Source organism: Homo sapiens, chromosome 6, assembly GCF_000001405.40.
Source record: "Homo sapiens chromosome 6, GRCh38.p14 Primary Assembly".
Classification (NCBI taxonomy): domain Eukaryota; kingdom Metazoa; phylum Chordata; class Mammalia; order Primates; family Hominidae; genus Homo; species Homo sapiens.
Genome location: NC_000006.12, coordinates 31843893 through 31856018, shown reverse-complemented (window position 1 = coordinate 31856018; position 12126 = coordinate 31843893).

Here is a 12126-nt window from a genome sequence, read left to right as displayed (position 1 = left end):
GGCAGGAGAATCGCTTGAACCTGGGAGACGGAGATTGCAGTGAGTTGAAATCATGCCACTGCACTCCAGCCTGGGCTATGGAGCGAGACTCTCCCTCAAAAAAAAAAAAATCGGGGTAAGTGTTATCAATCTAAAAAATAATAATTAAAAAGTTCAGAATCTAGGCCAGGCGCTGTGGCTCACACCTATAATCCCAGCACTTTGGGAGGCAGAGGCAAGCGAATCACCTGAAGTCAGGAGTTCAAGACCATCCTGGTCAACATGACGAAACCCCGTCTCTACCAAAAATACAAAAATTAGCTGGGTGTTGTGGGTCGCGCCTGTAGTCCCAGCTATTCAGGAGACTGAGGAAGGAGAATCGCTTGAACCCGGGAGCGAGAGGTTACAGTGGGCCAAGATCATACCATTGCATTCCAGTCTGGGAGACACAGCGAGACTGTCTTAAACAAACGAACAAAAGCTGAGAATCTAGTGTTGTTGCTTTTTACAGATGGAGTCTTGCCATGTTGCCCAGGTTAGATTCAGACTGAAGTTCAAGGGATCCTCCTGCCTCAGCCTCCTAGAGTAGATAGAGTTGGGACTGCAGGCACATACCACTGTACCAGGCTTAGAATCTAGTTTAAAGAGTTTATCCACCGGCTCTCCCTCCCTCTCCCTCTGTCTCCCTCTCCCCACGGTCTCCCTCTCATGCGGAGCCGAAGCTGGACTGTACTGCTGCCATCTCGGCTCACTGCAACCTCCCTGCCTGATTCTCCTGCCTCAGCCTGCCCAGTGCCTGCCATTGCAGGCACGCGCCGCCATGCCTGACTGGTTTTGGTGGAGACGGGGTTTCGCTGTGTTGGCCGGGCAGGTCTCCAGCCCCTAACCGCGAGTGATCCCGCCAACCTCAGCCTCCCGAGGTGCCGGGATTGCAGACGGAGTCTCGTTCACTCAGTGCTCAATGGTGCCCAGGCTGGAGTGCAGTGGCGTGATCTCGGCTCACTACAACCTACACCTCCCAGCCGCCTGCCTTGGCCTCCCAAAGTGCCGAGATTGCAGCCTCTGCCCGGCCGCCACCCCGTCTGGGAAGTGAGGAGCGTCTCTGCCTGGCCGCCCATCGTCTGGGATGTGAGGAGCCCCTCTGCCTGGCTGCCCAGTCTGGAAAGTGAGGAGCGTCTCCGCCCGGCCGCCATCCCATCTAGGAAGTGAGGAGCGCCTCTTCCCAGCCGCCATCACATCTAGGAAGTGAGGAGCGTCTCTGCCCGGCCGCCCATCGTCTGAGATGTGGGGAGCGCCTCTGCCCCGCCGCCCCATCTGGGATGTGAGGAGTGCCTCTGCCTGGCCGAGACCCCGTCTGGGAGGTGAGGAGCGTCTCTGCCCGGCCGCCCCGTCTGAGAAGTGAGGAGACCCTCTGCCTGGCAACCACCCCGTCTGAGAAGTGAGGAGCCCCTCCGCCCGGCAACTGCCCCGTCTGAGAAGTGAGGAGCCTCTCCGCCCCGCAGCCACCCCATCTGGGAAGTGAGGAGCATCTCCGCCCGGCAGCCACCCCGTCCGGGAGGGAGGTGGGGGGGGTCAACCCCCCGCCCGGCCAGCCGCCCCATCTGGGAGGGAGGTGGGGGGTCAGCCCCCCCGACCGGCCAGCCGTGCCATCCGGGAGGGAGGTGGGGGGGTCAGCCCCCCACCTGGCCAGCCGTGCCGTCCGGGAGGGAGGTGGGGGGGTCAGCCCCCCGCCCGGCCAGCCGCCCCGTCCGGGAGGTGAGGGGTGCCTCTGCCCGGCCACCCCTACTGGGAAGTGAGGAGCCCCTCAGCCCGGCCAGCCACCCCGTCCGGGAGGGAGATGGGGGGGTCAGCCCCCCCACCCGGCCAGCCGCCCGGTCCGGGAGGGAGGTGGGGGGGTCAGCCCCCCGCCTGGCCAGCCGCCCTGTCCGGGAGGGAGGTGGGGGGGTCAGCCCTCCGCCCGGCCAGCCGCCCCGTCTGGGAGGTGAGGGGCGCCTCTGCCCGGCCGCCCCTACTGGGAAGTGAGGAGCCCCTCTGCCCGGCCAGCCGCCCCGTCCGGGAGGGAGGTGGGGGTGTCAGCCCCCCGCCCGGCCAGCCGCCCCGTCCGGGAGGGAGGTGGGGGGGGTCAGCCCCCCCGCCCGGCCAGCCGCCCCGTCCGGGAGGTGAGGGGCGCCTCTGCCCGGCCGCCCCTACTGGGAAGTGAGGAGCCCCTCTGCGCGGCCACCACCCCGTCTGGGAGGTGTGCCCAACAGCTCATTGAGAACGGGCCAGGATGACAATGGCGGCTTTGTGGAATAGAAAGGCAGGAAAGGTGGGGAAAAGATTGAGAAATCGGATGGTTGCCGTGTCTGTGTAGAAAGAAGTAGACATGGGAGACTTTTCATTTTGTTCTGCACTAAGAAAAATTCCTCTGCCTTGGGATCCTGTTGATCTGTGACCTTACCCCCAACCCTGTGCTCTCTGAAACATGTGCTGTGTCCACTCAGGGTTAAATGGATTAAGGGCGGTGCAAGATGTGCTTTGTTAAACAGATGCTTGAAGGCAGGGTGCTCGTTGGGAGTCATCACCAATCCCTAATCTCAAGTAATCAGGGACACAAACACTGCGGAAGGCCGCAGGGTCCTCTGCCTAGGAAAACCAGAGACCTTTGTTCACTTGTTTATCTGCTGACCTTCCCTCCACTATTGTCCCATGACCCTGCCAAATCCCCCTCTGTGAGAAACACCCAAGAATTATCAATAAAAAAATAAATTTAAAAAAAAAAAAAAAAAAAAAAAAGAGTTTATCCAACTGCAAATGTTGAGGAAGTGGCCCGTCTAGAGCTGAAGATTCCAAAGAATATTAGTCTATGTTCCAAAAGTGTAGAAGTTTGGAATCGCTTATATAAACAGAAAGTTTATGGAAACTTAGAATTTCAACATTGTTCTGTGTTCACAATTGGTGGGTTCTTGGTCTCATTGATTTAAAGAATGAGGCCGCAGACCCTCACGGGGAGTGTTACAGTTCTTAAATGCGGCGCCTCTGGAGTTGTTTGTTCCTCCCGGGGGGTTCGTGCTCTCGCTAGCGTCAGGAGTGAAACTGCATACCCCTGCGGTGAGTGTTACACCTCATAAAAGTAGTGTGGACCCAAAGAACAAATAGCAATAAAATTTATTGCAAAAACGGAAATAACAAACTTTCCACTCTATGGAAAATGACCAGAGCGGGATGTCACTACTCACTCAGGCAGCCTGCTTTTATTCCCTTATCTGGCCCCACCCACATCCTGCTGATTGGTCCATTTTACAGAGAGCTGATTGGTCCGTTTTACAGAGAGCTGATTGGTCCATTTTGACAGGGTGCTGATTGGTGCGTTTACAATCCCTGAGCTAGACACAAAAGTTCTCCATGTCCTCACTAGATTAGCTAGATACAGTGTCGATTGGTGCATTTACAAACCCTGAGCTAGACACAGGATGCTGATTGGTATATTTACAAACCTTGAGCTAGATACAGAGTGCCGATTGGTGTATTTACAATCCCTTAGCTAGACATAAAGGTTCTCCAAGTCCCCACCACACTCAGGAGCCCAGCTGGCTTCACCCAGTGGATCCCGCACTGGGGCCGCAGGTGGAGCTGCTTGCCAGTCCTGCCCCATGCGCCTGCACTCTTCAGCCCTTGGGAGGTTGATGGGACTGGGGGCCGTGGAGCAGGGGGTGGCGCTCGTCGGGGAGGCTCTGCAGCACAGGAGCCCACGGCGGGGTTGGGGCTCAGGCATGGCGGGCTGCAGGTCCTGAGTCCTGTCCTGTGGTGAGGCAGCTAAGGCCCCGTGAGAAATCGAGCACAGCAAGCTGCTGGCCCAGGTGCTAAACCCCTCACTGCCCTGCCCGGGGCTTGTGGGCCAGCCTGCCGCTCCAAGAGCGGGGCAGCCGAGCCCACGCCCACCCGGAACTTGCGCTGGCCCACAAGCGCTGCGTGCAGCCCCGGTTCCCGCCCGCGCCTCTCCCTCCACACCTCCCCGCAAGCCGAGGGAGCCGGCTCCGGCCTCGGCCAGCCCAGAGAAGGCTCCCACGGTGCAGTGGCGGGCTGAAGGGCTCCTCAAGCGCGGCCAGAATGGGCGCCAAGGCCGAGGAGGCGCCGAGAGCCAGCAAGGGCTGCGAGGGCTGTCAGCACGCTGTCAACTCTCAGTTCTATGGTAAGGCTTATTGCATAGTTACAATGATCTGATTAGTCAATTTTTTTTTTCTTTTTTGGGGGGTGGGGGAAGGTGTTTTTTACATTCCACACTGAAGATGCAATAGTCATGGGGTCTTGGGTGCCATCTGGTCTGAGTCAGGTACAGGACAATAAAGGAGGCAGTTAATCTACAACAAAGATCAGTGATTGGAAAGGAGGTCTCATTACAGAACAAGAGCAATGAGGAGGAGAGTCTGTAAGAAGCAGAATTGCAAACATGCTACATGACTCAGTCTCCAAGGCTTAACTTCCATCTTGGCATAAACTTAGAGTCCTGAAGTTTTGTTTTCTTTTTACGGTGGACTTTGCACATCATTGCCTGGTGAGTGCCCGCTGGATCAGCAGCCAAATTCTAGCATGAAACCCTTTCCCCAACATCCCCTTTCACCTTGCATGGCCCTCCTTCCCTTCACACATTGATCCCCACTCCCAGCCCCTTTGCTTAGGATCAAACCAGCTCAAGCTCTCTCTGTCTTCTCAGCTGTCCCTTAAATAAGGGAAAGAGACAGTAACAATGAACACTGACCTGAACAGCAAATACCAGGGACCAGGGACCATGGATACTTTTTTGCTAATGTAATCCTTCCAACCAAAAGTCATGACAAGGAGGGAATAGGAAAAAGTATTTTTTTTTTTTTTTGAGACAGGGTCTTACTCTGTCACCCAGGCTGGAGTGCAGTAGCATGATCACAGCTCACTGCAACCTTGACCACCTGGGTTCAAGCAATCTTCCCACCTCAGCCTCCTGAGTAGCTGGGACTACAGGCACTTGCCACCAAGCCCAGCTAATATTTTCATTTTTGTAGAAACAGGGTCCCACTATGTTGCCCAGGCTGGTCTTAAACTCCTGGGCTCAAGTGATCCTTGACCACCCCACCCGCTCGGCCTCCCAAAGTGCTAGAGTTACAGGCCTGCCCACCCATAGCCATCTAATAATTTTTGCCCAAGAAAGGATTGGGAAGGAAGATCAAAGCAATGGCTTGGACATCTTTCCAACAACAACAACAACAACAACAAAACCACAACAGACTCAAATTACCATAGTAGAAGTATAGGTCTTCCTTTTCCTAATACTCTGGGATTTTTTTTTTTTTTTGAGACAGAGTCTTGCTCTGTTGCCCAGGCAGGCTGGAGTGCAGTGGCGTGATCTCAACTCACTGCAACCTCCGTGTCCCAGGTTCAAGTGATTCTCCTGCCTCAGCCTCCTGAGTATTTGGGATTATAGGTGCCCACCACCACACCTGGCTAATTTTTTGTATTTTTAGTAGAGATGGGTTTTCACCATGTTGACCAGGCTGGTCTCTACTAAAAATACAAAAATTAGCTGGGTGTGGTGGCATGCCCCTGTAGTCTCAGCTACTCGGGAGGCTGAGGCAGAAGAATCGCTTGAACCTGGGAGGCAGAGGTTGCAGTAAGCCGAGATCATGCCACTGCACTCCAGCCTGGTGACACAGTGAGACTCTGTCCCAAAAAAAAAAAAAAAAGAGGCCGGGCGCGGTGGCTCATGTCTGTAATCCCAGCATTTTGGGAGGCCAAGGCAGGCGAATCACCTGAGGTCAGGAGTTCAAGACCAGCCTCACCAACATGGAGAAACCCAGTCTCTACTAAAAATACAAAATTAGGCTGGGCACAGTGGCTCACGCCACCCAGCACTTTGGGGAGGCCAAGGCGGGCGGATCACCTGAGGTCAGGAGTTCAAGACCAGCCTGGCCAACATGGTGAAACCCCCGTCTCTACTAAAAATACAAAAATTAGCCAGGCGTGGTAGTGCATGCCTGTAATGCCAGCTACTGAGGAGGCTGAGGCAGGAGAATCGCTTGAACCCGAGAGGGGAAGGCTGAAGTGAGCCGAGATCACGCCACTGCACTCCAGCCTCGGCAACAAGAGCGAGACTCTGTCTCAAAAAAAAAAAAAAAAAAAAAAAGCTGGCCAGAGGCGGTAATTACATGCCTGTAATCCCAGTCCCAGTACTTTGGAAGGCCAAGACGGGCAGATCATTTGAGCCCAGGAGTTTGAGACCAGCCTGGGCAACATGGCAAGACCTCATCTCTACAAAAAATTTAAAAATTAGCTGGGGCAGTGGCCCACACCTGTAGTTTCAGCTACATGGGAAGCTGAGGTGAGAGGGTCACTTGAGCCCAGGAGGTAGAGGCTGTAGTGCACCAAGACCGCACCACTGCCCTCAAACCTGGGCGACAGGGCAAGAAACTTGTCTCAAAAACAAACAAATAAGAAACCCACAGCACATTAGGTCAAATACTTTTATAAAAAATTTTTTTAGGCCGGGCACGGTGGCTCATGCCTGTAATCCCAGCACTTTGGGAGGCCAAGGCGGGCGGATCACAAGGTCAGGAGATCCAGACCTCCTGGCTAACACGGTGAAACACTGTCTCTACTAAAAATACAAAATATTAGCCGGGCGTGGTGGCGGGAGCCTGTAGTCCCAGCTACTTGGGAAGCTGAAGCAGGAGAATGGAGTGAACCTGGAAGGCAGAGCTTGCAGTGAGCTGAGATGGTGCCACTGCACTCCAGCCTGGGAAACAGAGCAAGACTCTGTCTGAAGAAAAAAAAAATTAGAGTGAAAAAATAAAAAGGTTGATGAGTCTGTGTTTCACGAAAAACTCTCCAAACTCCCAAACTGTTTTAAACTTTTTCCTCCTCTACTCTCTCACTCTCTCCCCCCAGCCACACTCACACACACACTTTTTTTTTTTTTTTTTTTTGAGACAGAGTCTCGCTCTGTCACCCAGGCTAGAGTGCAGTGGCATGATCTCGGCTCACTGCAACCTCCGACTCCCAGATTCAAGTAATTCTCCTGCCTCAGATTCTCAAGAGTAGCTGGGATTACAGGTGTTCACCACCACACCCGGCTAATTTTTGTATTTTTAGTAGCGATGGGGTTTCTCCATGTTGGCCAGGCTGGTCTCAAACTCCTGACCTCAGGTGATCCACCTGCCTCCGCCTCCCAAAGTGCTGGGATTACAGCCGTGAGCCACTGTGCTCAACAACACACTTCTTTTAAAGACAGGGTCTCACTCTGTCACCCAGCCTGGAGTGCAGTACTGCAATCATAGCTCACTTCAGCCTTGACCTCCCAGGCTCAAGCAATCCTCCCACCTCAGCCCCATGAGTGGTTGGAACCACAGGTGTGTGCCACCACACCTGCTAATTTTTGTATTTTTTGAAGACACGAGGTCTCGACATGTTGCCCAGGCTGGTCTTGAACTCCTGGGCTCAAGCAATCCACCAACCTCGGCCTTCCAAAGTGCTGGGACTACAGGTGTGAGCCATGGTAACTGGCCTGAATATTAAGTGCTATTAGGGAATTAAATTTGCTTTTCTCAGGTATAATAGTATTGTGAATATGCAGATGAACATCCTTATTTTTTGGAGATGCATACTCAAATACAAAGGGATAAAATGTCATAATCTCTTTAATATACTTTGAAATGATCCTACCAAATATAAGTACATACAGATGCTAATATCATTGTTTTTGCCAATTTTCTTTTTTCTTCCTTTTAGATACAGGGTCTTGGTCTGTCGCACAGGCCGGAGAGCAGTGAGTGGAACAATCATGGCTCTGTAGCCTCGACCTTCTGGGCTCAAGTGATCCTTCCATCTCAGCCTCCCAAGTAGCTGGGACTACAGGTGCTTGGGAGTACACCTAATTTTTTAATTTTGTAGAGAAGTGGTCTCCGCCCAGGCTGGCCTCAAACTCCTGCACTCCAGCAATCCTCCTGCCTTGACCTCCCAAAGTACTGGGATTACAGACATTAGCCACCACGCCCAACCAAAACTTTTAAAAGTTTTTTTTTTGTTTTATAACAGTTCCTCTGCCTCTTTTAGAGGCAATCAACCCAGTGTGGAGCACAGGTATTCCCTGGGTGGCACTAGGAGATGGGACTTGCTCCCTGTTTCAAGGTGGTACCAGCTAATGCTGCAAGGCCCTTTGAAGAAGGCTCCCCCTTCCCAGTTTATTATCTGCCATCAGTAAATAACTGGGGATTATCAGCTGACACCTTTATCTTCACTACATTCTTTAGAATTTAAGACAGGCAACAGCCAGCCTAGAATGTGACCCACTTCCACCTGAGGTTCACCTGACTGGAGGCAATAAAGTTTAACATTTCAAGAGTCAGCAGGTACTTTAACCCTTAGGATAATTTGTTTCTTTATATAGTCTTTGGAAAATAACACAAGAATTAAAAAAAAAAAAAAAAAAAACAGCCAGGCTTGGTGGCTCAGGAGGCAGAGGCTGCAGTGAGCCAAGATGGCTCCAGTGCACTACAGCCTGGACAACACAGTGAGACCCTGTCCACCCCACTCCCCCCCAAAAAAAGTCATGGGAAAGTAGAATGCTAATGAAAAGAAAGTACTACAATCAACAAACTAACAGATGGGCCTGAGATGCTAAAAACCAGGTACCCCTGTACGCCATTGGGCAGCAGAGCTCATGATGGCTCTGTGGCTGTTCTGGCTGCAGGTAACAAATCCATGTAACAAACAAAGTAGGCTGGGTGCAGTGGCTCACGCCTGTAATCCCAGCACTTTGGGAGGGCGAGGCAGGTGAATCACAAGGTCAGGAGTTCAAGACCAACCTGACCAACACGGTGAAACCTTGTCTCTACTAAAAATACAAAAATTATCCAGACGTGGTGGCACCACCTGTAATCCCAGCTACTCAGGAGGCTGAGTCAGGAGCATCGCTTGAACCTGGGAGGCGTAGGTTGCAGTGAGCTGAGATCATGCCACTGCACTCCAGCCTGGGCAACAGAGCAAGACTCCCATCTCAAAAACAAAAACAAAGCAGCTCTGGAGTTGGAGTATCTCATTCCATCCTTCATGTTTCAAAACTTCCTTTTCATATCACCTCTGATTTCTCTGCTCCACATTATGGATTATTTCTCCCTCCAACTCACTAATTCTTCATTTAGTTGGTCTGCTGTTTATCTTGTTTATTGTGTATCTTTGTTGTTTTTTTTGGTTTTTATTTTTAGAGATGGTGTCTTGCAATATTACCCAGGCTGGTCTCGAACTCCTGGGCTCAGGTGATCCTCCCACCTTGGCCTCCCAAAGTGCTGGGATTACAGGCATGAGTCACCATACCCAGCCCCCAAGCTATGTTTTTAAGATACTAAGAAATATTTCAGACATGCAAAAATAAGAAATGAGAGGCCAGGCACATTACATATGCTTACATACTACCAGTATGTAAACATATATTAATGTTACATACAACTAATATGTAAACATTACGTACCACTAGTTGTTGGTTTTGTTTTTTTTGAGACAGAGTCTCATGCTTTTGCCCAGGCTGGAGTGCAGGGGTTCAATCTTGGCTCACTGCAACCTCCACCTCCTGGGTTCAAGCAATTCTCATGCCTCAGCCATCAGAGTATCTGGGATTACAGGTGTGCACCACCACACTTGGCTAATTTTTGTATTTTTAGTAGAGACAGGGTTTCGCCATGTTGACCAGGTTGGTCTCAAACTCCTGGCCTCAAGTGATCCACCTGCTTCGGCCTCCCAAAGCGCTGGAATTACAGGCATGAGACACTGCACCCAGCCCCAAAAGTTTTTAAGGTTATTTCTGGGCTCTAGAATTTCCTCACAACCCAAAAGATGCAAATTTCATCCATGAGTTCTGTTGGTGCAGGTTTGGGTGTACCCCACAAAGCCTGCGGCTGTGACTCTGGCCAATGGGTAGAAATTTTACTCCTCGAACACTGACAAAAGAGCTCCAAGCAGCTCCTGGGTTTCTGTAGCATGGCTGAAGCAGAGTGGAAATGGGGTTTCACCATGTTGGCCAGGCTGGTCCCCAACCCCTAACCTCAGGTGTAGAAGATGAGGTCAGAAAGTTGACAGAGCTAGACTGGGAGGACCTTGTTGGGTGGCCCTTGTAAGATGGAGACTTTTACTCTGAGTGAAATGGCAGCTGTTACAGGATCTTCAGAAGAGGGGAGACATGACCTGACTCCTGATTTGGAAGGAACCTTCTGGCTGCTGTGTGGAGAGAGCCTGTAACGGGCAAAAGTGGAAGCCAGGAGACCAGGTAGGAGACAGTTGCAGTTGTCTAGGTGAGAGCCAATGGTGGCTCCCACCAGGATGGAGCAGCAGTAAAGGTGTGAGACACAGATCCTCGTGTCATTTCTAAGATACAGACAGTATGATTTGCTGACAAATTAGATGTAGCATGTGAGAACAGGAGAGCAGTCAGGCAGATTCCAAGGGTCTAGCCTAAGCAACTGGCAGGTAGAGGTGTCACCTGGAGGGCCAGCACACTGGCCAGTGGGTAAGGATTCCAAGGATTCTTGTCTCCCATTTCTGTGGGGAGACAGGCTGAGGCCAAGCCTTAGGAGGCTCACTGCCTACAGTAGCTGAAGTAGCAGGCTAGCCGCTATTAGAGTAACTGCAAGCTGGGGAGTTCAGCCTGGGAGGATGGGAAGGAGGACTGTTTATTACTGAAGTTGCTCCACTCCTGGTATGGAAATGGGGCCTAAAGAAATGAGGAAAATAGGCCGGCGGTGGCTCACGCCTGTAATCCCAGCACTTTGGGAGGCCAAGGCGGGTGGATCACGAGGTCAGGAGATCGAGACCATCCTGGCTAACACGGTGAAACCCCGTCTCTACTAAATATACAAAAAATTAGCCGGGTGTAGTGGTGGACGCCTGTATTCCCAGCTAATCGGGAGGCTGAGGCAGGAGAATGGCGTGAACCCGGGAGGCGGAGCTTGCAGTGAGCCGAGATCGCGCCACTGCACTCCAGCCTGGGCGACAGAGCGAGACTCCGTCTCAAAAAAAAAAAAAAAGAAATGAGGAAAATAGCATTTTGGGGTTGAGGTCTTTCAGCATCACCACTGTGTGAGAAAAGAAGTTCACGTGACCATCTTACCATGGCTGTAGCTCAGTCTTATACCCCAAACCTGGGATTAGCACCCACCACACAGGGGAGGACTTGAACCATACAAAGGGCAGGGGAATGCAGAAGAGACCCTTGGGGACAAGAAATGAAACCAACAAAGCTGAGTATGGTGGCATATGCCTGTTGCCCCAGCTACTGAGGAAGCTGAGGCGGGAGGATCACTTCAGCCCAGGAGTTCAAGTCAGACCTGGGCAACAGAGCATGACTCTACCTCTTCATTTATTTATTTAGAGATAAGGCTCACTCTGTTGCCCAGATTGGAGTGCAGTGGCACAATCATGGCTCACTGCAGCCTCAACTTCCAGGGCTCAAGCAATTCTCCCATCTCAGCCTCCCAAGTAGCTGAACCACGGCATGCCATCACAACCGGCTAATTTTTAAAATTTTTTGTAGGAACTGGATTTCACCGTGTTGCCCAGGCAGACTGGTCTCAAACTCCTGGGTTCAAGAGATCTGCCCACCATGGCCTCCCACAGTGCTGGGGTTGCAGGTGTGAGCCACCGCACTATGCTTCTTTTTTGTTAGAGACGGGATAGGCCGGGCTTGGTGGCTCAAGCTTGTAATCTCAGCATTTGGGGAGGCCAAAGCAGGTAGATCATTTGATTTCAGGAGTTAGACACCAGTCAGGCAATATAGTGAAAACTTCACTGTATAAAAAATTTAAAAATTAGCTGGGCATGGCTGGGCGCGGTGGCTCACCTGTAATCCCAGCACTTTGGGAGGCCGAGGCAGGTAGATCATGAGGTCAGGAGATCGAGACCATCCTGGCTAACACGGTGAAACCTCGTCTCTACCTAAAATACAAAAAAATTAGCCAGGCGTGGTGGCTAGCACCTGTAGTTCCTGCTACTCGGGAGGCTGAGGCAGGAGAATGGCGTGAACCTGAGAGGCAGAGCTTGCAGTGAGCCAAGATCGCGCCACTGCACTCCAGCCTGGGTGACAGAGCAAGACTCCGTCTCAAAAAAAAAAAAAAAAGGTCAGGTACGGTAGCTCACGCCTGTAATCCCAGC